Raw genomic sequence first — 27763 nt, 5'->3', positions numbered from 1 at the left:
TTTAAAAAATCTTTTATACCATATTTTCACTGTACCTCTTTTAGATATGTTTAGATACAAAAATACCATTGTGTTACAATTGCCTACAGTATTCAGCACAGTAACATGCTGTACAGGCTTGTAGTCTAGAAGCAACAACCTATACCACATAGCCTAGGTGTGTAGTAGGCTATAACCTCTAGGTTTGTGTAAATACATTCTATGATATCTGCATGATAAAATTATCTAACGACACATTTCTCAGAAACTGTTCATCGTTAAGTGGCACAAGATTGTCATTGCCCACTATAAAATATTTTCCTCTTCAGCTGTTTAATAAACCTGTGTATAACCTTTGCAGTATTACTACTTAATAAGGTATTTTGAGATTTTTAAATGAAGTGTAAAATATCAAATAGGTTTAAAATACGATTACCCTCTGAATAAATGTTATACTGTGTCAAACTATTTGGACCACCAAAAGGTAAAAATAGAAAGAAATGTGTAAGTACCTTGATTTTTTTCTTCCCAATATTTTCAAATCTCTCTGGGACCATTTAAAATAATACTATTTCAAGATCTCAAATTTCAGCATTTCTTACCTATATCATATTTTCATTTAATAACTGCTCTGCTAATGTCTTTGCTTGTCATCTTGCTTTGTACCCAAGATTAAAGTATTGCATGTATATAAATACTGACTGCTCTATCACCTATTTTGTTACAAAAAGGCATTTCAATAGAATGTTTAGAAACATTCTTAAGGTGTTTGTAAATTTAAACTGCTTTCTGATCACAGCTACCAGACTGAGACACTTTCAAAAGTAAGTTATTTATCTATAATTTAAGTTTCAAATAGAAGCAGTCTCACAGTTTTTAGCATTTTATAGTTATTAATATCGTTATGAAATATTTTGAGAACATATTCTAGAAATAAGCAAGTTTTCAGCTTAGGGAAATTATAACTTAAAGCACGACAAACAAGTAATTACAGAACAATCTAAGGAATTACTAAGATGAGGAAGGGATGTTCCCAGAAGGAGAAAGCAATGGAAAGGCATCAAGTGAGGATATGAGAAAGATTTGCTAAGCTAGTTGCCACTGCTCTTTCAGGTGAAGACGTCATTTGAGTTTCACCAAGAAGAGCTGAGTCTCCCATATCAATAGTTGATCATTTTCCCTTATTCTTTGTCTGACCCAGGAAAGCAAATGAAAGCTGACTGGAAATGAAAAGGTGCAGGTTCTAATGTTAAGTTTACCTTACTTGGTCAAGGCCCCTAAGTAAACTGTCACTCATTATTTCTTCATCTCTGAAAAAGAGATGAGACTAGTGGAATTATATAATTTTATAGTTTTAGCACATCACTACCACAATTAGTATTAAATGAGTCAAACAAAAGGAAAACTTAGCCAAAATGAAATGAAGCCACTTTGAGATGAATAATGGCTTTCCATTTCCAATTAACCTAAGGCACTGCAAAATAACCAGATAATATTATCAGCACATAGCTAGTTCACCTGCTGTTCTAGAGTCTAGATTAAGCAAATCAAAAAAGTCTCTGGGCTCTTAGGTCAGATTGCTTTAGATTTAACAACAAAGAGGAGTTTCAAATTTCAAGATGCTAAAGAAAGTGTTTGATATAATAAATGGCTGATTATGAGATTGGGGAAAAGAAAAGGCTTGCTCTGATGAGTAACTATTTCCACCCTTTGTATTTAATTTGTATCATAAATGTTGGTATTTTATAATCTTTTATTTATTTATATTTATTTATTTATTTTACTTTTTCAAGCTAGGAGTAGGACTTCAGTATTTTATAATCTTTTACCTAAAGTTTTGTTCCAAAGTTGTGATAAAAGACCAAAAAAGGTAAAGTCAGTTAAGTATGTAAAAAAAGGGAAAAAAGAGGGTGACAAAAGATAAAAATACAGTCAATTTGAAAGGCAGTATTTCATCCATATGTTAATAATGGTATGAGTTCAGGACTTAGGAAGCAAGATAACTAAATGGTGAGGTTCTACTCCAAATGCTCCAGAATATACAGACACAGTTACAATGAAGTGCAGAACTGAGATTTGGATACAGAGAGTTCTCAATCTTTTTCTCAGCATAGTATTAAGTGACTACCGGCTTGGGGATGCCCTCCCCTTCACCACTCACGTAGACACACACAAAGGAATACTTGGAAACAGAGCAGGGCTTCCAGTATCTCATAAATACAACGACAGATTACCCAAGAATTATACTCTGGATTAGAGGAAACCAAGGATGGAAAATGTTCTTAAAAAGAAAATCCATAAAGAGATATCTGACCCTAACCTCAGCTACCAGAGCTACAGAGAAGAGAAACAAAGACTTTGTTATAAAGAAGACATTAAAACAAACACATGTACAACATTGATAAGCATTTTACTCAAAGGGAGAAAAGAACAGGAAGGGCTGAAAGTCTCCACACAAACCAATCTTTTTGATGAAAACATATTTCCTTTTTTCTTCTGGTCTCCTCTATAAGACAGTGCACAAAGTGCTCATTTATGTTTTCTTTGTTTTCATCCCAAAGCTAGAAGATCAAAGAGTTAATAAAACCTCCTAGCTATAGAAGGTCATTACAAAACTAAATGCAGCAATTCAAAGCGGAAAATAGAATGAATGCCAAGGAGATGTTTAACGAAGTAACAGTCTAGATGTATTCTTTGAAGAACATTTGCAGACTCGTTTGATTGCTTTAGAGCGCACAGGGAACAATGCGGCTGCATGGAGCTAACATTGACTGATGGTTGCATTCTGCCGGACCAAAGCCAGGCCGCTTAGAATCACAAGTATATTTGATATAGAACTACCTAATATAGTGGAAATATTCATGTGTATTTTGCATAGCAAAATAGTATTAAAAACTTCTACCTTTTTCCCCCTTGGGCCTAATTAAATGCCCAAACATAAGACACGAGTCTATTCATTGGAAAAATAATTTGAAGCACTATTTTTCCAAAATCTGACAAAGTTGGGTGGCAAGATAAGGGATTAGCTTAATGCTTCCCATTAGCTATTGAGATCCTCCTTCTTTTTCTTTTTTCTTCTTTTTTTGTTCTTTAGTGCTGACATCCTTATAATGGTAGCAAATACAGAATACAAAAGGGAGGCTTTGGAAATCATCAATATTGCCACATTGATTTATTCAAAAGAGACAGGCTGGTACACTGGTCTTGCATTACAATGTGACATGCTAGAGTTTGCCATTCACTGTATGCTGTCATCTAAATGTTTGTGTTCCCTCAAAATTCTTATGTTGAAACCTAATCCTCAATGCAATAGTATTGAGAGATAGGGCCTTTAAGAGGTGATTAGGTCATAAGGGCAGAGACCTCATGAATGAGATTAGCACTCTCATAAAAGAGGCCAAAAGAAGTTTGTTTGCCCCTTCCTCCGTGTGAGGACCCACCTAGAAGTCACCATCTATGAAGCAGGAAGCAGGCCCTCAGCAGACATGAAATCTCCTGGTGCTTTGATTTGGACTTCCCAGCCTCTAGAACTGTGAGAAATAAATTTCTACTGTTTATTAATTGCCCAGTTGAAGGTATTTTTTTATAGCAGCTCAAATGGACTAAAACACTGCAGCCCTGGGATCTCAGCATTAGGACCCATGAAACAGGTTACTTCCTGGAAAAGAAACAGCAGAACATTGGAGAACATCAGAAGTGCCCATCCTGTTGGTAGGGCCATGGCTATGTGGCAACATGAAGGCCAAATGATAGAGGGTATTTAAGGTCTCCTACTGAAGTCTAATCAGATGATGTTTTTCCCACTATTTGAAAACTTGGGAAAAAATTGTTTTCATGTTGAGGTAAAAGGAGATCTTTCCTAGGGTAATTTGAGGGCAGATTGAAGATTGGCATAGCTAGTAATGATTTTATTCAGGAGAGTGTAATTTAAAAAAGCATAGAAATATTTAAATAGCTGAGATTAAGCTTTAATCAATTAAACTTTTTAATTATTTGGGGCAAATAACTAACGTTTCACTATCAAATGAATCTGTTTTGAAGTACCATTGAAAGTTGTGCTGATGCCAATAACAGTCTTTTTGTTTGTCTTTTTGCATCAGTGGTGCATGTCACCTTCCTGCAAGGCAACTAGTTTGCAGATATGGCCAGAGGGGAAATTACTGGACAACAAAATGAAAAGGGGGCATAAGTCAGCCAGCTCTCTCAATCCTAGGAAAGGAAACTTCCCTCCTGCTTATGAAAGAGGACGATTGTGCCCAGTACCACTTATCCAGTGCCAACAATCTGGTAAACCCTCTATTCAGTGCTACACCAGGGCTACAGAAAGGTGACCTGGAGTTTGGGGCTGAGGTCAGGGAAAGGTCACTGCCTGAAAAATGAAACTAGTCAAAAGAAAAGAATCCTAGGAATGGGTGAGGTTACTCATCCACCAAAGTAACCCAATCTAAAAGATGGCATAGAAAGTATTTTTTTTTTTCTGGTAGTCTAGTGGTTGGGGAAAAAATAAAACAGAAGGAAAAGGGTTTTAAAAAATATATATTCAAAATTCCAAGCCTTTTAAATAATCCTGCTGGACCTTGCAAGCCTGTCCTAGCATGCTTTGAAGTGCAGCCATAAGAATCAGCATTTTGTCACTACCATGCCTACAGACTTTATTTTTTTACTTCTGCTTTTTAGGTTCATCAGTTCCCCTCTCCCCTCGCTGATTTTCCTCCCCATCACCACCACTGCAATTTCAAAACTAAAAATCAGATGTTAGGTATGAAGACACCATTACCCTGTTGTTTGAAACTTGCTCTGAACTAGCTGGTTGACCTTCCCCTCCTCAACATCTTCCTGGTACCTTTCTATAAAGGCAGCGTATCCAACACATGCCAGTATATGGACCTTAGTTGGTCATGGTATACCAGGAGTGCCTGTTTTAAATAACCCCTTTTAAGGTTAGAGGAACTTTAATTCTTGGCATATTTATTTGCCCTTTCATAGCTTTTATCTTTGAGATGTAGATGAGTGCTTACAGGGTGCCTGGAATGGAAAGAGGCTATAGGATGAAGGAGCATGGGCTCAGGGTTGCATATTTTCGGGCTTCCCCACCTCAAAAAAAAAAAAAAATCCGTGACATTTCTTTTCCTGGATGGCAAAATGAAAACATTTCATGAATAAATCTACAAATAAAATGATATCACTTTAAAGATGTGAAAAATCTAGGTGTACTTTGAAAAAGATTTTCATTTTAAATAGGTAGCCAGAAGCAGATATGTGCAATTGAAATGTTTACTATTCATCTGATTTCTTTTTCTAAGAAACACAAAAATCATGACATTAGAAAGAATTCAATTAACTCTCCTCAGTGTGTAGAAGGATGTAGAAGGAGTTTCAACTTCCTTTTGTTTTATATTTGTTGTCAAGAATTCATACAAGAAAGTCAATTTTATACAAAATAATTTTATAAAATTACTTTTAAGATAGTCAATTTCCATAGCTCAACTTCAGTAGGTCATATAACATGTCTTTTAATATGAACTCCTTAGCTTCATTAGTGCATTAAAAATTATTTATCTTGCAAAACAATAAATTAAAAACAGAATTAGGATGTCTTTGGTTTATATAGCCATAGTATTAAGTTAAAATAGTATAATGCATGTTATACAAACAGAAATGTAAATGTGGCCTAAAAGAAAATTTTTAAGTCAGTTTCACATTAAACATTGAATAGAAAAGTTGACTTATCTTAAGTAAAGCAAGTCACTACATCACTCTGCTACAGCAAATGTTTCCTTGTAAATGAGGATGAACTGACAATGCTTGAAAGTATAGTTCATCAAAATCACAAGAAACCAAATATTATGAATGTGTAAAATTCCATGTTTATTTAATATCAGTCACACAGTTTATTGAAACCAATCTTTGTAAAGACAAATAACATGTCTGAGGAACATAAACAATATCATATAGTTGAAATTCATCCTGTATTTTCACCTGAATAAAGATGTCATTACGCAAGAGTTTCAACAATAAAGACCCTGCCTTGAATTGGCATGGCATCTCTCAGAGCTTCAAGGCAGCACAGTCTTTCATCCAACTCTAGAGAGATTATCAACTCTGCATCAGGGAACTTCAGTGATTAGCTTGTCCACACTTAGCTACCATGGAACCTTCCCCCAGTATCTGCATTGGCCTCCAGTGTGGTCGGTGACATGGGCACCTTCTCAGAGCACATATCCAGAACTCGAGATGGGTATTCCTAGGACAAAAAATATGCAGATAATGTAAAAAGGCTCATTCTAGTCACGGAGAAGAATGAGTGTTATACTACTTAATAATGATACCAACGAATATTAATTTTATTGTTATAGTTGCCCATATATATTAAAGTTTACTATGTGCCAGGCACAGTGTTAAGCACTTTACATTCAGTAGCTCATAAAATGGACATAAGAACCCTGTAACTACTAAAATTATCTCTGCTCCAGAGGCCAAGAAACTTGAAAAAGTGATAGAAGCAGGGTACCTTTTGCATCATCAAACACAGCTCAGGTAAGACTAGTAGCTTCCTTCACTCAATGTTGTAATGAACTAATAGTTTCTTAAAAGCCACTCACACCTTTTTTTCTGCCCTGCCTTTCTCTCTTTCTTTCAAATTTATTTTTTAAATTTATATATAAAATGCTATATATTTACTGTGTACATCGTGATGTTTGGAAGTATATATACATTGTGAAATAGTTAAACTTAGCTAATTAACAAATTTATTACCTCATGTATTTACCATTTTTGTGGTGAGAACACTTAACATCTACTCTCTTAGAATTTTCCAAGATACAATCTATCATCATTAACTATAGTTACCAAGCTGTACAATAGACCTCTTGAATTTATTCCTCCGATCTAACTATAAATATGTAGCCTTTAACTAACAAGTTCCCCCCACCCTCAACCACCTAACCACTTAGCCTCTGGTAACTATCATTATACTCTCCACTTTTCTTTCTTTTTTTCTCTCTCTCCCTCCCTCCCTCTCCCTCCCTCCCTCCCTCCCTCCCTCCTTCCTTCCTTCCTTCCTTCCTTCCTTCCTTCCTTCCTTCCTTCCTTCCTTCCTTCCTTCTCTCTCTCTCTTTCTTTATTTTCTTTTTCTTTTTTTTTGTTTTGAGACAGAGTTTCAGTATTGTTGCCCAGGCTGGAGTACCAAATGGCATGATCTCAGCTCACTGCAACCTTTGCCTTCTGGGCTCAAGCAATTCTCTTGCCTCAGCCTCCTGAGTAACTGGGATTACAGGCACCTGCCACCACTCCCAGCTAATTTTTTTTTTGTATTTTTAGTAGAGACAGGTTTTCACCACGTTGGCCAGGCTGGTCTCAAATTCCTGATCTCAGGTGATCCACCCGCCACGGCCTCCCAAAGTGCTGGGATTACAGGTGTGAGCCACTGTGCCCAGCCTTATACTCTCCACTTCTATGAAATCATCTTTTTTAGATTCCACATGTAACAGATCATGTAGTACTTGTCTTTCTGTGCCTGGCTTATTTTACTTAACGTAATGCCCTCCAAGTTAATCCATGTTGTCAGAAATGACAGGATTTCCTTTTTTTTAATGGCTGAATAGTATTCCACTGTTTGTATATATACCACATTTTCTTTATTCATTCCACTGTTGATGGACATTTAGATTGATTCCATATCTTGGCTATTGTGAATAGTGCTGCAATAAACATGGGAATCCAGCTGTATCGTCAACATATCAGTTTCCTTTTTCTTCGGATATATATTCAGTAGTGAGATTGCTGGATCATATTTTGAGGTTTTCGAGGAACTTCCTTATTGACTCTGTAATTGCTGTACTAATTTTAAATTCCATCAAAAGTGTGCAATGGTTCTCTTGTCTCCACATCCTCACTAATACTTGTTATCTTGTTTTTTTTTGATAATAGTCACCCTGATAGGTGTGAGGTGATATCTGGTGGTTTTTTTCATTTGTGTTTCCTGTGTGATTAGTGATGTTGAATGTTTTTTTCATATGCAGTGCAGTACCTGTTGGCCATTTGTATGTCTTCTACTAAAAAATGTCTATTCAGGCCTTTTGCCCACTTTTTAATCAGGTTATTTGTTTTCATACTATTGAGTTGCTTTTATAGAGGCTGGAAAACTAAATTTCTTGATATTCTAGAAAGACTTCTTTCTGCCTTTCTGATAATATTTTTCTTTTTCTTACAATTTTTATATTCCAAACCACAACACAGCTCTCCTTGCAGCCAGGAGTGGCCATATGATGGATTCTGACTAATGAGATGCAAGCTGAAGTTGCTAATTGGGACTCCTAAAAACACTTTTAAAAAGTGATGGACTCATGATCTCTTCACCCTTCTTCTGCCTGTCTCGAATTGTCCATCCTCAGACTTCTTGATACACAAAAAATTTATTTTCGGCTAGGCCATGTTAATTTGGTTTTCCACTACTTGCAGCTGACTGTACTGATTATCTAAAACTGCTTTATAAAGTTTTGTGACTAGGGGGTGGGAGCAATGATCACTAATATTCATTAAGTGAAAGGATAAATGATTGAATTGTGTATCTTAATTGTGGTATATTCTGTACAACATTTTTACAATAAATTAATGTTGAATTAGTTTATTTCTATTTGATACTAAACACTAGCACATCTGAAATAGTTGTCAGTTTTTCCCCTTGCTAAAAGTACACAGATTAAAAAATAAGATAAGCCATCTGGGCCATGTGCACTGAAAGAATGGCTATAGCTCTTGCCCTGATTAGAGGGTTTCACAAACTAGCATTGAACTCACTGGGGGTTCAACAGAGAAGAAAAGGAGGAAATCCAGGAGATAAATTAAGGAATTTTTGGAGAAGGTGAGATACTTAAATTTTATAAATATTTTTCAATTAAATTGAATAAAACCCACTTTCTACTCTCCCCCTGTTAATGATTGAAATCCCATTTCCAACACTTATTGGGTATGTGATCTTAGACAAGGTTGTTTCACCTCTCTGAGGTTACTACATTTTTTAGCCATAAAGTCAATATTCTACAATCCATCTCATAGTATTATTTTTAGGATTAACTAAAACAATGGATGTGAATTGCCTAGTACTGCACTTGACACAAAATATAAAGTTAGCAGACTTTCATTCCCTCTGCCTCCCTGCTACCTGATTCCCCATGGCTCATTTCCATTGACAGAAGAATGATTTTAAAGACATCTGTCTAATCTCCGAAAGCATTTTTCCTTTTCTTACCTCACAGCCCAGTCACTATATAAAGACATCATTTCGTTGGACACAGATATTAGTGAAAACAATGCCTCCAACCAGGGTGTAAGTTTCTTGAAGGCAGTAACCATGACTTAAAATGTCTATGTCCCTTACAGAACTTGAGTTTCTAAAGAATTTCCAACTACACTATCTGAAAAGAAAAGAATTTTGAGCTATTTAATTTTTAAATAATTTTTATCAATCCAAATGACTCCTGTTTTTCAAGGTACAATCTTGTCAGCATTTCACCCAATAAGCACAATGCTTGAGGACCTACAAAGTAGTTCTAAACATAGACAAACCCATATTTTTGATGATAATATGAAGGCATACCAAAAAGAAAAGAATCCCAATATAACTTACAATATAATGGTTGTTTACTATGAACTGTTCACTATGCTAAGCACCTTCATACTTTACCAATCATCCTTTCTAAAACTCTGCAAAGTAGGTGTTGCTAGCTCCATATTATGGAAAGGATAACCAAGGATACAAGACTTGACTAGCACTAACTGCTAAGTGAATCCAGAACACCTTAGCCAGTGTGTGAATTCAGATCTTTTATGTTCCAACGTTTGAGTTCTTTGTACTTCACACACTGCAGAGCAGAAGACACGCAGATTATGAATTTCTGGGGAAGAAAAGTCAAAAATGTCCACATAGTTTGATAGAAAGCAACATTTTGGGATCTTAATTATTCAGATCCATAGCATCAAAATTAATTGTTGTTTATAAAATAAACAATAAAATAACAAATATTTTTAAAGCAACATACAAAGTTCTTATTTAATCTTTACAACATTTCTGTAAGGTAGATATTATTACCTCTTCATATGAATAGATGTTGAAATTCAGAGAAATAAATGACTTTTCTAGATAACAAACCTTGAACCCACACCCTGGCCTCAGGATAAGAGTTCTTTCCACCACACCACAATATTATACTTCCTGTGTTATTTTGCTTGAGTTTCAACGAAAAAAGGATAAAGAAATGGATGAAGGGTGTTATGGTTTGGCTCTGTGTCCCCACCCAAATCTCATCTCAAATTGTAATCCCCATGTGCCAAGGGAGGGACCTGGTAGGAGGTGATTGGATCATAGGGATGGTTTCCTCCATGCTGTTCTCATGATAGTGAGTGAGTTCTCAGAAGATCTGATGGTTTAAAACTGTGGCACCTCCTTCTTTGCTCTCTCTCTCCTGCCATCATGTAAGATATGCCTTGCTTCCCCTTCACCTTCTGCCATGATTGTAAGTTTCTTGAGGCCTCCCCCTCCCCAGCCATGCAGAACTGTGAGTCAATTAAATCTCTTTCATTTATAAATTACCCAGTCTCAGGTAGTTTTTTATAGTAGTATGAAAACAGACTAATACAGAAAATTGGTAGCAGGAGAGAGGTATTGTCATAAAAATAACCTGAAAATGTGAAAGTGACTTTGGAACTGGGTAACAGAGGTTGGAACAGCTTAGAGGGCCCAGAAGAAAACAGGAAGATGTGCGAAAGTTTGGAACTTCCTAGAGACTTGTTGAATGGTTGTGACCAAAATGCTGATAGTGATATGGACATTGAAGTACAGGTTGAGGTGGTCTCCGATGGAGATGAGGAACTTATTGGGAACTGGAGCAAAGGCCACTCTTGTTGTGCTTTCACAAAGAGACTGGCAGAATTTTGTCCAGAGATCTGTGGAACTTTAAATTTGAGAAAGATGATTTAGGGTATCTGACAGAATAAATTTCTAAACATCAAAGCATGAAGATGTGACCTGGCTTTTTCTGAAATCATACAGTCATATGTGCTCACAAACAGATGGTTTGAAATTGGAACTTATGTTTAAAAGGGAAACAAAGCATAAAAGTTTGGAAAATTTGCAGCCTGACCACGTGGTAGAAAAGAAAATCCCATTTTCTGGGGAGAAATTCAAGCTGGCTGCAGAAATTTGCATAAGTAATGAGAAACCAAATGTTAATAGCTAAGACAATGGAGAAAATGTCTCCAGGCCATTTCAGAGAACTTCTTGGCTTGGGAGGGAAAAATGGTTTCGTGGGCTGCTCCCAGGGCCCCGCTGCTCTGCGCAGCCTCGAGACATGGCACTCTGCATCCCAGTTGCTCCAGCTTCTGCTGTGGCTAAAAGAGGCCAATATATAGCTCAGGCCATTGCTTCAGAGGGTGCAAGTCCCAAGCCTTGGTGGCTTCCACATGGTGTTGGGTCTGTGTGTGTCCAGAAGACAAGAGTTGAGCTTTGGGATCCTCTGCCTAGATTTCATAGGATGTATGAAAATGCCTGGATGCCCAGGCAGAAATCTGCTGCAAGGGCAGAGCCCTCATGGAGCACCTCTGTACTAGGGCAGTGCAAAGGGGAAATGTGGGGTTGGAGCCCCCACACAGAGTCCCCACTAGGGCACTGCCTACTAGAGCTGTGAGAAGAGGGCCACCATCCTCCATACCCAAGAATGGTACATCCACCAACATGTTGCACTGTGTGCCTGGAAAAGCCACAGGCACTCAACATCAGCCTGTAAAAGCAGCTGTGGGGCCTGTACCCTGCAGAGCCACAAGGGAAGAGCTACCCAAGGTTTTAGGAGCCCACCTCCTGCATCAGCATTACCTGAATTTGTCATGGAGTCAAAGGAGTTTATTTTGGAGCATTACAATTTAATGGCTGCCTTGCTGGATTTCACACTTGCATGGGGCCTGTGGCCCCTTTGTTTTGAACAGTTTCTTCCTTTTGGAATGGGAACATTGCCTGTACCCCCATTGTATTGGAAGTAACTAACTTGTTTCTTTTTTTTATTTTACAGGCCCATAGGTGGAAGAGACTTGCCTTGTCTCAGATGAGATTTGGACTTGGACTTTTAAGTTAATGCTGGAATGAGTTAAGACTTTGGGGGACTGTTAGAAGGCAGGATTGATTTTGAAATGTGAAAAGGACATGAGATTTTGGAAGGACCAGGGGTGGAATTATATGTTTAGGCTCTGTACCCCACCCAAATCTTATCTTGAATTTTAATCCCCATATGTGGAAGGAGGGACCTGGTGAGAGGTGATTGGATCATGGGGGCAGTTTTCCCCATGCAGTTCTCATGACAGTGTGTGAGTTCTCACAAGATCTGATGATTTAAAAGTGTGTAACTTCCTTCTTTGCTCTCTCCTGCCACGATGTAAGATGTGCTCACTTCCTCTTTGCCTTCTGCCATGATTGTAAGTTTCCTGAGGTCTCCCCAACCATGCTGAACTGGGAGTCAATTAAGCCTCTTTCCTTTACAATTTGCCCAATCTCAGGTAATTCTTTATAGCAGTGTGAAAACAGACTAATACAAAGGCATGGACTAATCACCGTCTTTAGCCCTTCTTACTTCCATTATCTAAATTACTCTCTTCTGAACAAATACTTTTTTTCAACAGGTGTCTTCTGAGAAGTCATTTTGATACAGTATGAATTCAATAAGACAAGTCTTCCATTGAGCATGCTTGGGCAAGTAAATATTAAAGAGATTTTCTAAAGGTCTTCAGTTCATGCTTGGTGTTCAGCATGCCCTTTTTCTCCTCCTTAATGTTCGTTTTCAAATGAGCAGCAAAGAATAGCTTTAAGGGCTAGAATAGCTCTGGGGTATTTAACAGGTGCTGAAACTTATGTTTAGGTCACCAGTTCAGATCCCAAGATATATGGTTCTCTCTTCTGCCATTCATTATTTTAAGCAGGAAGACCAGACCAATACCTTTAAACTGGCATGACCTACCATAAAACTGTTCCTCCTTACCATCAGGTACTGGTGAGGAATCACCTGGGGTTGTTACCATTGAGAACTAGCAGAACAGTAACCATCATTTGCTCCAATGACACACGGTGCATCTCTTATGCTATTAGAAGCAGGACAGCTGGATATAAGCAACCAGGTGAGGTGGGATAGCATATATTCCTTGAAAAAACTCTTCTTGAGTTTGGGAAAGGTGGGATTATGGTGAGCAGCAGAAAGAACAGAAAGGAGTAGGTGACAAAGAAGAAAGATGATGATCCAAGTTTGGACTAAATTAGGACAGAAAGAATGATCAAACTAGTCAATAGCTAAACATGTGAGAGAAAAGGGGTCAAATGATGTGTCAACTTTGAAGACCAGAGAACCCTAGATAATAAAGATGAAAGTCAAAGCAGTTTACTCTGTTATTCTTAATTAGTCTTAGTTATCTTTTTATTATCTCTAAGTGTTATAAACATTGTCTTCAGGTATTACTAAGAAATGATGCTGAATTAGGAAGACCCAATAATATTTGTAGTTAATATCCTGGTTCCTGCAGTGGATGTAACAATGTATGTCATAATTTAGGACCTGTAAGGCTCCTTTCCATTTGGCTGTGCCAGATAGTGCATATTTTTTATTTTTTTCCTTCTCAGACCTTCGTTGACTGTTGTGCAATACCTTATTACCAAGAGTGAACACTTTTATTTTACTGTTCTCTGTAACAAATCTTTACTAATTTAATCATCAAAGCAAACTTGTGAGATCAAATTTATTATTATCCCCATTTTACAAATATGGAAATGATGCAAGAGAAAGCCCTGGTGACTTTCCCAAGGTTGTGTAGTTAGTTAGTAAAGTTAGGGTTTAAACTCAGTTAGTCTTCTCCAAATCCTTCTTCCTAAGCATCACACAATAATGTCTTGCTTAGATATTTCATGGAGTTAAAATATTTTAGTCTTCTAAGGATAAGAGTTCAGTACAAACAAAGTTATAGTTATGTTTCTAAGAATTTAGTGAACCCATCACTGACCTAAAAAGCCAAAATTGTTTTGTATTATAAATCTATGATTTAATTCCTAATCCATTTAGGTATGCAAATTATATTTTTTAGAAATAAAAGATTATAATATTCTTTTATCTACCTAATGACAACTATTATAGAAACATGAAAATTTCATGAAGAACTTAAAAATTATGATACTTAAATGGTTTTGTTCAAAAAGCTAAGCCAGAACTAAATAGGGCACCTCTTTGAGGAATGTCTAGTTGACAAATAATGAAAGAATCCTATATTCCTAACACCATTTCTGGGCACTATAAACATTGTTTGTATTAGTGAAAATGGTACTGCTGTTGGTGGCATTTCAAAAAAGGAAGCAGAAGCTGTACTTGGGAGCTGAACATAAATATAATCAGAAAAGATGATGAACTAAATCATATTTACAAAAGGATTTAAAATAATGGTTCATGAGTCCTGTAAAATAATTTCCCCTTTTTAACATAGAATCACATATAGTACCCTATTAGTTCATTTTTTTGGTGTCATTTATGCTATAAATCTCCTTGCTAGATAGGAAATCTAGGCCATACCACCATTCTTTAAATTAAGCTTACTGCTCTTGCTTGGTGATTGGATGAAATAAAACCAAAGATTACTTAATTTGTTTCATTTCATTTTGAAATCAATTTAGATCAGTGGCAATTAAATAGGCAAACTCCTAAAATTTATGGCATGGTCAGGGAGCATATGCATGGGAGTCTGCGTGTGTGTGTGTGTCTGTGTGTATGTGTCTGTGTGTAGTTTATGCATGTGCCCAACTGGAGACTATTGCAGTGATGACAAATATTTGGTAGTAGAAACTCGTTAAAAAGGGGAAAAACGAAAATTTAAAATGAGGTGAACTTTTTCTGTATTGCCTGTTTATCTACCAAAGTCATAGAAAACCCAGACTCATTTTAGGCTTCTTGAAAAGTAATCCAAAAACTGATTTAGCATCTCTTATAAGATGTGGACATATAGCTGGAATGCTAACATCACATTGTAAAAAAAAGCAACTTTCTACACTTTCCCCCCCAAAACCCTATTCTGATTGTATTCGTCTGCTTGGGCTGCCATAACGAAATACTATAGAGTGGGTGGCTTTAATAACAGAAATTTATTTTCTCACAGTTCTGGAGGCTGGGAAGTCTGAGATTTAAGTGTTGGACCATTTGGTTTCTGCTGAGGGCTCTCTTCCTGGCTTGCAGACTGCCACCTTCTTGCTATGGCCTCACAGACGGACAAAAACATTCAGTTCATAGCACTGACCAAAAATTATTTCCAGGCAATCCAGTGAGTAAAGTCTGACTATATTAGCCTGAGGCTTTTCTGAAGTATTCCTGTATCCACACAGCTCAAGTTTCCATCTCTGCTCTTACTAGAAGCATAAACTTTCTGTCTATATATCCCAGATATACACTATCTAAGAAAACACCAGAATAAAGTACAATAGAAAAGTGGTTCTCAAAATGAGATTCAAGAATTTCTGAAGTTCCGTGAAAATCCTATGTAGTCTATGGGTGGTCCCTGTGTTATGTAAAATAATCAATTTTGAGTGGCAATGTCCATCCTTTTTGTTCTGGCATGAGCTAATAATTTACTTATCAGATATAGTAGAATTATGTGTCAGCTCACTATTACATCATCAAGAAGAGCACTAATTCTGATAAATTACTTTGACAGGTACAGCTGGAATAGAAAAGATAGACAGTGGATTCTTTGGCTTCATCCAAGTGGGCTGAGGATTGAAGTATTTTTCCAGTCATGTTCTTGAACACCTACTTTCATGGCATGCTGACATTTCCAGACTACTGAAGATGTGATGATTAACTGATCCTGCATTTGATGAAAAAAAAAGTTTGCACATTCCAAAGGAGATAGGTTTCAAATGACTATATAGGGTACAATTTCCACTGAAGTGATTTCTCTTAATCTTAATCCTTAACCACTCTCATTGCTACAGTACCTTCCAAAAGTAAGCATAGTTCATAAAGTCTTCAGACTGCCTTTTAGCACATTAACATACTCTTCACAATCCCACAATAAAAGCACCTTAAGTGCAGGGATATTTTTCTTTATTTTCTTTCTTTCCTTCCCTCTCTCTTTCCTTCATTTCTTCTTTCTTTCTTTCCTTCCTCCCTCCCTTCTCCCCACCTCCCTCTCTCTCTCTTTCTTTTCTTTCTTATCCTCGGTGCCTAAGAATTTGTTCTATAGAAGTCTATTTGAATGAATGCATGGAGATACCTAAAGTAAGTGATTCTGAGGTACAGTGATACTTGATCACCTATATGTAAAATTACTATCATAAGGAAAGTGAGGCTGGGCATGGTGGCTCATGCCTGTAATCCCAGCACTTTGGGAGGCTGAGGCGGGTGGATCACCTGAGGTCAGGTGTTTGAGACCAGCCTGGTCAACATGGTGAAACCCCGTCTCTACTAAAAATACAAAAATTAGCCGGGCGTGGTGGCACGCGCCTATAGTCCCAGCTACTCGGGAGGCTGAGGCAGGAGAATCACTTGAACCCGGGAGATGGAGGTTGCAGTGAGCCAAGACTGTGCCACTGCACTCCAGCCTGGGTGACAGAGTAAGACTCTATCTCAAAAAAAAAATAATAAATTTAAAAAAAAAGAAAAGAAAAATAGGCTGTGGATATGGATGGGTAGTTCAAAAAATAAAAATAAAAAAAGGGCTCATAAGGAAAGTGAAAAAACATTAAAATGTACAACCATGTCAAACCATGCCAAAATGTCTGCTGATATAAAAAGCCCTTCTCAGTATCATATATAATCATTTACAACAGAACAATGGCCTCCAGTTTCATATCATCGCACCCCTGCCTAACATCTATGATTTCATGTGAATTTAAAAAGCTGCTCTCAATCCCAAGGTTTAGACTCAATAACTTTAGGCTTCAGTGCCCAATTCTATGAAATTTTAGAATAGCATCTACATTACAGTGCTCATGCATCTTACAACATGTTCTTTGATGAGAGTGTTTGGGGAAAAAGTGACCAGTCTCTGTCACCATTCCGATCTCCTAATTTCAGCTCACTTCTCTACTGGCATCTCTTTGGCCCACCAGAAATTTAAGAGAAAAAATATTGTGAAAAGACTATTTAAGTCTGGTCATTGAAGCAATTAGACAGTGCATCAGATTAAAATGACATCACTGTTATAACAAACTAGATTTCTTACAGCACTGGAGAAAAGAAAATTTACTGATGAACTTTGGCTTCAAATTTTGTAAAACTCTAAGACCAGTTGTCATTTATCTTGAAATACTTTGAGATATTTACCTCCTGAACTTAAAATGTCCAACTTTCTTACTTCTGCCCTTCTCCATAATTCTTCCCTCTTTCAAGCAATAAACGGCAACTCAGTCTTCTGGGACCATATCCAATATGGTCTCTTCCATGAAATCTTTCCTAACTTCTTCACTAAAACATGTGCTTTGATTAATTTTTCTTAACATATTTCTCCTTGGTCCAAGTCCAAGGCCTGTGTCTTACTCATTTGCCTGTCCCTAACATTTAGTAGAGTATCTGATTAGTACATGTCAGGTACTCAGCAAATATATGCTAAATGTAAATAGTTAATGAGTGCAACCATCTCCCAGAGATTTCAACTTCTCCCTAAAGCAGAATATAAACTGAAGTCATGGTAGAGGAAGCCATCTTAAAATTTGATATTCATTATTATTATTAAAGGAGCCACTATTTAGGAAGGAATAGAAGATAGACAATTTTCTCATTTGAACTTTCCCAGGGAGGGCATGTCCTTATATTGTCAGAGTGGGCAAAAATCAAACACATTATTATTAAGGCCAATTTAATTCTCATTGTCCTGGAGCCATTTAACATTCAACATAATTATCTGCTTGTACCATTAATAAGGAAGAGAAAAATATACACAACGTAAAGTTATCTACCTTGACAAAACCAGGTTTTAAACAATTCCACACTCTTCACTCTTTCCATGTTTATTATGTCTCTAAGGGGTCAATGTTATAACAGATTTTAAGTTTTTGGTCATTTCCTCAAGCAAATATTCTGAAACAAAGGATCCAATAACATTTTCCATTTATAATATCTCACTACAAATTTTTAATTTTTTTACAAATGAATTATTCAAGTTGCAATTGATAGAGGCTTCCTTTGAACATTATTTAAAGCTCTTTTTAAGTACCTAAAGGATAATAGAGAATAAGAAAATTCTTCTGTGATTGGTTAAAGAGCAGAGGTATGTGTGCTATTGACAATATGGAAAAATCTGCCAAGTGATTTTAATTAAGCCTAATAATGTGAACCCATACTTGATGAGTAGGAGAACTAAGCAGGAAGCCAGTTATAGAGGATGACATGAAAGATGGGAGATCATTGGGTCTGAAATTCTGGAAGCAAAGATAAATGACTTTTTTTTTTTAACCAAAAGGAATGAATACCTTTATGGCTAACTTAGTTGGCTTTTCTTCCATCAACTAGGGTATATTCTTTCCTCTCCTTAAGACTGTTTCCTTTTCTGTAAAATGTGACCATTGTAATACCCTTCATAAATGACCAGGATAGGCAGACCTGAAATAACAGTCCTTCCTGATCTCAGTCAGATAGGGTAAAAGCTGAGATAGAGAATGCTACTGGGAATTACATTGCAAAAGAAACATCTGGTTGGACGCAGATGTAATCCTAACACTTCGGGAGGCCAAGGCGGATGGATGGCTTGAGCCTAGGAGTTTGAGACCAGCCTGGGCAATGTGGTGAAACCCCATCTCTACAAAAATTAGCCAGGTGTGTTGTGTATGTCTGTAGTCCCAGCCACTTGGGAGGCTGAAGTGGGAGGATCACCTGAGCCCTGGAAGGTTGAGGCTGCAGTGAGCTGAGATGGAGACACTGCACTCCAACCTGGGTGGTAGAGTGAGATCCTGTCCCAAAATAATAATAATGATGATGATGATGATAATAATAATAATAATAATAATAATAATAATAATAAATGAAAAGAAAAAGAAACATCCAAATGGGAGGCTGAGTATCAGGGTGTATTCCAATTATGACACAACTATGTGTGACTTTGTGTTGATAAATAAGTAAATAGCTCTTTGTGTCAGATTCCTCCCTGATGAAACAAGGGAGATTTGCAATACACATAAAGCAGTTGACCCTGGGCAAAGTCCTAAAAATAATTTGTGGGTTACATAAATCAAATTAACTCACACTGACATGGATTCTTAAAGAAGCATTGTGGAATCCACACACAAACAGTGTTGCCTCTAGTCTACCCCACCATCCTCTTTTCAGAGATTACAGGAGAGACATTTCTAAAGGTTGGACACTTAAAACAAACTCTCAAATCACCTGGGCTGGGCTACATGACATGATGCTACTAGATGAATGGCAGTCTCATGAGTGAATCAAGGAACTGTAAAGATGAATTTCAGGCCTTTGTGAAAATGGCTTACAAGTGATCCCCAATTTCAAATGATTGTCATTTCTGTTTCTGCTCAGACATTCTGCATCCGAAACAGATCTGCTCATGAATCCTTGCAAGAAAATCTAACAGAGTACAGCAGAGTGTTCCCTTTCCTGGTGAGCTAATGCCCAAGAATATCCATTCTAGAGTCCATGGTGTGCATGGAATGATATTTCTTGGAATTTCCCAGGGACTGAAACTTCTCCAATGACTATTCAGCTGGGCTCTCAGAATTAGGAATAAACATGTCAGAGCCAGAGGGTGGGGTCTGAAAATGGAAATCCTCAAGATGAGACAATATTAGTTAGTTGGAAAGGGTGATAACTTTTCTCTGTCCCTAGTTCACAACCTGGGAGTGATTTAGACATTAGGATACGCAGTGTAATTTCCCATTTCAACCCTTGGTTTTATACTTCACTAATTGCTGTTAGTTATTTCTTTAGATAACCCAATAACACAGAGGTCTATTGGTCTCATTATTTGAATAAAGAAAACTGAGGCAGAGAAAGGATAAAAAATTAGTTCCCATCTGGCTGGGATTTTAAAATGTGTTAAATGTCTTACTCTATTTTACCTCTTTCCATATACATTGATTTTAACATCCAATCAATGCATGAACCAGCTTGACTTTGCTGCCCACCTTTTCATTCCCTCCACTCCAACAAGAGACAGGCTTCAATAAATAGATAATAAGTAGACAAGGTGATAAGAGAAAAGTTTTCAATCTAATTTAATTTAATTTAATTTTTGAGGCAGGATCTCGCTTCATTGCCCAGGCTGGAGTGCAGCGGAACAATTATGGCTCATGGCAGCCTCAATCTCTTGGGCTTAAGTGATCCTCCTGCCTCAGCTTCTGGAGTATCTGGGACTACAGGCGTCTGCCACCATGCTCAGCTAAATTTTTTTAATGTTTTGGCCAGACGCGGTGGCTCATGCCTGTAATCCCAGCACTTTGGGAGGCCAAGGTGGGCAGATCACTTGAGGTCAGGAGTTTGAGACCAACTTGACCAACATGGTGAGACCCTGTCTCTAATAAAAATACAAAAATTAGCTGGGTGTGGTGGTGCATGCCTGTAATCCCAGCTACTCAGGAGGCTGAGCCAGGAGAATAGCTTGAACCCAGGAGGCGGAGGTGGCAGTGAGCCAAGATTGTACCACTGCCCTCCAGCCTGGGTGACACAGCAAGGTTCCATCTCAAAAAAAAAAAAAAAAAAGTAAAATGTTTTATGGAGACAGGGTCTCATTATGATGCCCAGGCTGGTCTTGAACTTCTGGCCTCAAGCGATCCTCCCACCTCAGCCTTCCAAAGTGCTGGGATTACAGGTGTGAACCACCACACCCAGCCAAATATGCAAGTTTTTAATTTTTTAAGTCAATTAAAGATTGACTTTAAAAAGTCCATTTTAATTCAGAAGTGACCATTCTGTCATTCTGAAATTTTGTTCTTTGTCCTTCGGAATGTTTGTTTACTTGGCTGGAGCATCAGTGTGGTTGGAGTCCCTGCACAGTAGGAGGAAGTTGCTCCTGCATCCTTCTCAAACCTCACAGAAACACAAGGATTTCACAAAAATCTGTCGATTTCTTTCCTCAACTGCATTTAATTATGATATTTTTAAGACACAGAATTTCCTCTTAATTTAAAGCTTTCTTTTTCTAGGAGCATTTCAGTTTTTCATTTCTGTAAAAGCCTGTACTTTTTTTAAAAAAAAGATTCAAAGTTTGTCTTGCTATGTTTTCAAGAATTCGAGACTTGTAAACTTAAAACAAAACCCACTTTTACCTTTGCAAACCAGCCTCAAAAGAGAAAATAACCCTACTTTAGCTTTGAATTTAAAGTTAAATTTTATATTGAAGGAATTCTTTTCCATTCGCCTTCTCACTAAGTCATGTCTCACAATTCTGGCTTCATTTTTCTAACAGTTCCTCTTCAATAACCTTGCCAAGTCAATCTTGTCATAATGTGGGGATGAAGAAATCAAGTTTTATTGTTTTTCAACTTCAAACTTAATGTATATTGTTCACAAAGTGATGGAAAAAAGGCCATTTTGAAAAAATGATTCAAGCTGTCAAATAAAGTGGTAACATCCATTTGGTAGGTGGCCTACGGATAGCAGTCCTGATTTTATGATTTTCTGACCTCTCTGGGATTTGGGTTTCACATCTGTCCAGTGAGGGAGTTGGTTGCCAGCTCCCCAAGATATAGTCATTACCACAGCAGCCTCGTGCTTTTTACCATGTCACTGACTACAGCCATTATGTAATATTTCCACTGCTATATTCACTGCACTAATTTTCACTTAATGTTTGTCTTTAAACTAACTCTATTTTTATTTTTAACTTTAAGCATATTTTAAAAGGAAGCTTTGTGCATCTGCCATTTAAAAAAGTGTCATCCATATAGTTGGTAACCCAAAAAATTATATTTTTAATGAAAACCATACAGTATTATTAAATTCTGGCTCTACATAGTTATCTGCTAAAGACGCTGAGCCTGAGGCTTGTCTTCTGTTTCTCAAAAAGGAAGATAAAAGTGTTAGAGACTTCTTTGTTAGCACCAGACTGAGACTTTCTTCTTGATATAATTAGAAGTCTCAAAAAACCTGAAAGAGGCTAATTTTCTTATTGCGTTATTCACTATCCATACGCTTCCTAAAACTATCCTGTACACATTAGAGATCCATATTCCTCATCCCAGAAAAAAACTGGGCTGAATGTTGTTCTTAACAGTTTATTATATTGCAGATCTGTAATTTCAGTTTACAGACACACAAAAGACACAGAGGAGAGGTACATTCCTCTTCTGGTGCTTCAAAAAGCTGAAACACAAGCATCTTGTAAAAAGAGCTGACTCCTCTCTATACTCCATGACTCTGGGTAACTTGTTCGGACACGAAAAGGTAATAAGGAAGTGTGAATAAGAGCAGGAATGAGAATCCAACTGGTCAACTTGATTTGGTTGTTGTAAAATACCTTTATCTAACAATCAGATTGAAAAATGTCATTAAATAAATCAAAACTGTTTTTGTCAGAGCTGAAAGGCAAATGCTGGGATCAACTTGACAAAGTCGTTGTATTTTAATAGAGAATTGGTGCAGTTTTGGTATACTGCAAAATTACTCGACCATCTTTAACTTGTTATAACTACCAGTAGCCACTCATATAGTAAAAGTAAGTGTTTTAAAAGCAGAAATGAATAACTATGTCTGCTATACTTGTTCATAGTTTTGTTTGTATGTGGTTTTTTGTCGTAAGCTTGTATAGTTACACACAAAGTAAAACTTCAGTTCAAAAACTTTACTTTCCCCTTTGTTTCCCCTTTGCTGCTAGAGTTACACAAATGACCAAAGTTTATAATCTTTTCATTATCCAACATGAAGTAAAAATAATAATTAAAGCAGACTCATATTGAAAATAACAATAGAAAATTAGTGGGATAATTCACTGCTTTTTTTTTTTTGGTTTTTAGTTCTACTGCCAACATAAAACAGCATAATGGCAACTGAAATATCAATATTCTTAATACTCCATTTTACTTGGCAGTAACTGCAAGGAAACCTATCCATCTTGAGTCTTAAAGACAATTTCTAAAATTAAAGCTAGTGCTAGCCATTCCTGACACTCACTTCTGAGTAGATGGGTGGTTCACCTTCACCAGAAGCAGTCTCAAAAAATCCCCATGGCATCTGCCACTGTGAGAGAATTTCAAGTTCACGTAAGTTTCAGTTGCTCCTTTATGCCTTCATCTACTTAATTCCTACTTTACCTTGTCTAGAAAAAAAATAAATGAACACAGTCTGGGTCCACAGACTGCTAGGCAAGTTCCTCACAGGATCTGCAAAATCAGACTCTGGGTGGGATCTTGAAATTCTGTGACTTGGTGTTGTGGAGAGCAGTGGCCTGGGAATCAGGAGCCCTGGGCTCCAGGCCCAGCTCTACCACTAACTGTGTGACACTGAGCAACTCTCCTGTATTTACTGGTCTTCAGTATTCCCATCTCTAAGGGAAAAGGCGAGAAGGGACCTAGATAGTCATTTGTTGCTCTAACGTTCCATGATTCTGTCTACTTCCTATAGTGTTACAGTAGTCGTCTAGTGTTAAAAAATAATGTTAAATAATCTCAGACTTCAGAGTAGCAACTCAGTCTGACTAAAAGTTTTTAAAAGACCAGGAAGCATGAACTCTCATCCAGCCATGCATTTTATTAAAGAATTAATAATAGACTCACAAGTAGATAGATATTGTGATTTTGATTGGCTGGTTAACTCATTGCCTCTGCTATGTATTGACTTTCAGGAAGTTAGAGAATAATATAGACCTAACCATTAGGCAGTTGATCTTCAAATACACTTGCATTAATATTTTGTTAATTGCATTTTATTTTCATTGTAATGTGGCTAAAATTCCAGAGATAAATATCTTCCTTTATGTGAAGTCCTCAGGGAACAGTAGCACTGATACATTTATCATTAAAATAAATGCAGGCTATCTGCCCAACAATTATGTATAAAAATACGTTTGAGTGACTAGGCCAATAGAGGCCTTCATATTTTGTTAATTTTCTTTTGTTTTGTTTTTTAAAGAGACAAGTTCTCGCTCTGTCTCCCAGGCCAGAGTGTAGTGGAGTGATCATATTTTGCTGCAGCCTCAAACTCCTAGGCTCAAGGAATCCTCCTGCCTCAGTCCCCACATGCCACCACACCTGGCTAATCCTTAAACATTTTTTGCAGAGACAATGTTTTACTATGTTGCCTAGGCTGGTCTCAAACTCCTGGCTTCAAGTGATGTTTCCACCTTAGCCTCCCGAGTAGCTGGGGTTACAAGCACAAGCCACTGCACCCAGCTTAATACAGGCCTTCACGTAAAATCAATGGCTGACATCAAGCTTCACAGGAAGGGCATGTTTCCACAGACAGGTGGAATATTCCCAAGCTGGAGGACTAGCTGAAAAAAGGCACCCAAACTTTATTCACTTAAAGTCTTTACTTTTCCATAACAACTCCATCAACAGTGCAAAACTGAAAACCAAAGACTATGTTTCCCAAATATTTTTTTCAAAAACAAAAGATCTTTATTTATTTTAAATTTCAGCCAAAATGTGATAACTTCTAATCACACAATGTTATTGTAATATTCTTTTCTTTTTTTTTTTTTTTCAAGAGCAGTATTCTGACTTTAAGAAATGTAGGCTGGACATGGTGGCTCACGCCTGTAATCCCAGCACTTTGGGAGGCTGAGGCAGGTGGATCACCTGAGGTCGGAAGTTAGAGACCAACCTGACCAACATGGAGAAACCCCGTCTCTACTAAAAATACAAAATTAGCTGGGCGTGGTAGCGCATGCCTGTAATCCCAGCTACTTGGGAGGCTGAGACAGGAGAATTGCTTGAACCCGGGAGGTGGAGGTTGCAGTGAGCCAAGATCATGCCATTGCACTGTAGCCTGGGCAAACAAAAGTGAAACTCCATCTCAAAAAAAAAGAAAAAAAAAAAGAAAAAAAAGAAATGTAGCAGATAATATTAAGTTCCTAAGAGAGTCAGTCAACATCTGTTAAAATTCAGCCATTCTAAATAGGTAGCTGGTAAACTTTAGTGGGATTTTGTGCCTCAGCTTGTTATTAAAGTTACTCCTGAGAAATGATCTTCAGTTTGGTGAAGTTCCCTCCCTTTGTGCATTCAGCAAACTAATATTAAGGGCCTACTGTGTGTCAGACACACAGTAATCTCATATGTGTTCTTTAGCATACTCCCTTCTGATGAAGATAGATAAAAACCATCCCATGGCTCAAGCTTGGAACCACATCCTGGATGCCAAATGTCCACCCACTCCTACAAAAGAACAGAAAAGAGAGTCTGAGGCTAAAAACCATGAGAATGTGTTCTGTACCAGAGATCCCAAGATCTCTTTCAGCTCTTCTCCGACTGACTTTCCTGAATTATATACTTCACACCTGATTTCTTCATCAAGAGGAGGCAGCATAGCAAAGAATAATACTGCCTCTGTAGCCACACAAATTTGTTTCTGAATCCTCACTTCCCCACTTACTAGATGTGGAACTTGGGTATGTTCTTAAAAACCTCTTTAAGCCTAAGTTTCTTCTTCTCTAAGTTGGAAATATGCTGCAGGGATAAAATGAGATAATGTGAGTAAAGCTCTTAGTACTGCGCCTGGCAAATGATAAGCACTCAGTAAAGTGTAGCTTCAATTTAATCTTGTCATTAGCTGAGCATAGAGATGACAAATGAACTAAGATTTATTAAGTTCCTAGTGATCCTTGGGCAAAAAGAGATTCTAGAAATTACCCTCTCCCCAGTCTCTCTCCCCACCCCCACCCAAGTTTCTTCTTTATGGATTTGAGAGCTAATTCTCTAGCTTGTGTACCATGCTTTTCCTTAATATCCTCTTTCTAATTCCTCATGATTTACTTTGGAAATATCACCGTATATCAAGAAAACCATCAATAGAGAAAAAAAGAAAAAGAAAAATGGTAAAAATTTATATCATGACCTAAGAGATATTTATTAGTAGCTATTTCTATGTGGTAGAATTAATGATGATTTTTATTCTTTTGTGCTTTTTTGTGTTTTCCAAATTTCTACATTAACAAGTATTGCTTTTCAAAGAACAAAAAAAGGTATTTAAAAAGTGTGTGTGTGTATGAGAGTGTACGGCTAGAGGAAGTGACGTAATAAAATCAATAAAGATGTGGTTGTAGGAGACTGTGTGAAAGTAACTGAAACAGACATGACTACTGAAAGAAAATTATTTTAGTAAAAAGCCCAGGACTTAGAGCTAGAAGACACTGGGTTAAAGTCTAGTTCACTGCTTTGGTAGTTGTAGGACCTTGGTCATTTAACCTTGCTAAGCCTCAGTCTTCTTATCAATAAAATGGGAGTAGTAAGATCATTCTCCTTGTAATTCCAAGTAATTCCTTGAAATTTAAGGGAGATTGCATGTAAAAAATGTATGACACATTGTGCAGAGTTAGTGCTCAGATTACAAGTCAGTTGAAAAACTCCTGTACTAATTAACATTATTTCATGCACTTGGATGTCTCATCCATACCTGATGTGTAACAAGGTAAAAACTGAATGTAATATATTTTTTCTCGTTTTCCCCACCAAAACCAGCTCCCTTTCTTGTATTTATTATACTGTTCATGAAAAGTTCCACTGTAGCGTATTTCCCTATGTTAATAATATAGATTTATTCCAACCCTTGATTTTGCAATATTCAATCTGTTCCTTATTCCAATTGAGGTTTTCTCTGAAATACTGGTTTAGTTCCACCCTTTGTCTATATTTCCATTGACAGTCCTGGCATATGCTGCTCTTTTCCCACTCCAAATGGATTTTTAAACTTTTTTTTTTTTTTGAGATGGAGTCTCGCGCTGTCGCCCAGGTTGGAGTGCAGTGGCACGATCTCGGCTCACTGCAACCTCTACCTCCCGGGTTCAAGTCATTCTCCTGCCTCAGCCTCCCGTGCAGCAGGGATTACAGGTGTGCGCCGCAATGCCCGGCTAATTTTGGTATTTTTAGTACAGACAGGGTTTCACCATGTTGGCCAGGCTGGTGTTAAACTCCTGATGTCAGGTGATCCACCCGCCTCAGCCTACCACACCTGCTGGGATTACAGGCGTGAGCCACTGCGCCCGGCCCCACATGGATTTTTATGATGCCAGTGTCTCTTCTCCCGAACATATTCAAGTGGCCTACAAATCTTCAAACTTCATTCTCATCACATCACTCTTTTTCACTGAAGCCTTCAATCTCGTCTGAGTGTGGTGGCTCATGCCTGTAATCCCAGCACTTTCGGAGGCCAAGGTGGAAGGATCACTTGAGAACAGGAGCTTGAGACCAGCCTGGGCAACATAGTGAGATCCTGTCTCTACAAAAAAATTGAAAAATTAGCTGGGTGTGGTGGCAAGCCTGTATTCCCAGCTACTCAGGAGGCTAAGGCAGGAGGATTGCTTGAGCCTAGGAGTTGGAGACTACTGTGAGCTGTGATTGCAACACCCACTCCAGCTGCCCTCCAGCCTGGGTGACACAGTCAGACCCTGTCTCTTAAAATAAATAAATAATACATAAAATAAAAATAAAGCCTTCAATCTAAACTCTTCATGTTACATTCAGGACTCTGCATGAAATTGTAACCAACTGCACCTCCATCCAACACTTTATTTCTCCAACATCAGTTCTGAATATCCTAAAGGCCCTAGCTTGGCCCTGTCCTGTATACAAATTTACTTCATCATTGTTCTCTACACAGAAAATGGCTTTGAA

General features: G+C 37.5%; 2 long non-coding RNA genes across 6 annotated transcripts in view; one reads left to right on the top strand and one right to left on the bottom strand.

Moving 5' to 3' along the window:
* Positions 1-3405: 3405 nt before the first annotated feature.
* LINC02060 (long intergenic non-protein coding RNA 2060) overlaps positions 3406-27763 on the top strand; it is a 30109-nt gene continuing 5751 nt past the window's right edge. The window contains exons 1-5 of the long non-coding RNA NR_105021.1: positions 3406-3511; positions 6453-6516; positions 12646-12715; positions 13008-13137; positions 15703-15994. This is a non-coding gene — a long non-coding RNA (long intergenic non-protein coding RNA 2060). The remainder of the gene's footprint in view (positions 3512-6452; positions 6517-12645; positions 12716-13007; positions 13138-15702; positions 15995-27763) is intronic.
* TMEM161B-DT (TMEM161B divergent transcript) overlaps positions 5822-27763 on the bottom strand; it is a 167793-nt gene continuing 145851 nt past the window's right edge. For all 5 annotated transcript variants that reach the window (NR_039993.1, NR_039995.1, NR_105019.1 and 2 more), the window contains one exon: positions 5822-6223. This is a non-coding gene — a long non-coding RNA (TMEM161B divergent transcript). The remainder of the gene's footprint in view (positions 6224-27763) is intronic.

Source organism: Homo sapiens, chromosome 5 (assembly GCF_000001405.40).
Source record: "Homo sapiens chromosome 5, GRCh38.p14 Primary Assembly".
Taxonomy (NCBI): domain Eukaryota; kingdom Metazoa; phylum Chordata; class Mammalia; order Primates; family Hominidae; genus Homo; species Homo sapiens.
This window is presented reverse-complemented; position numbering and strand designations above follow the sequence as displayed.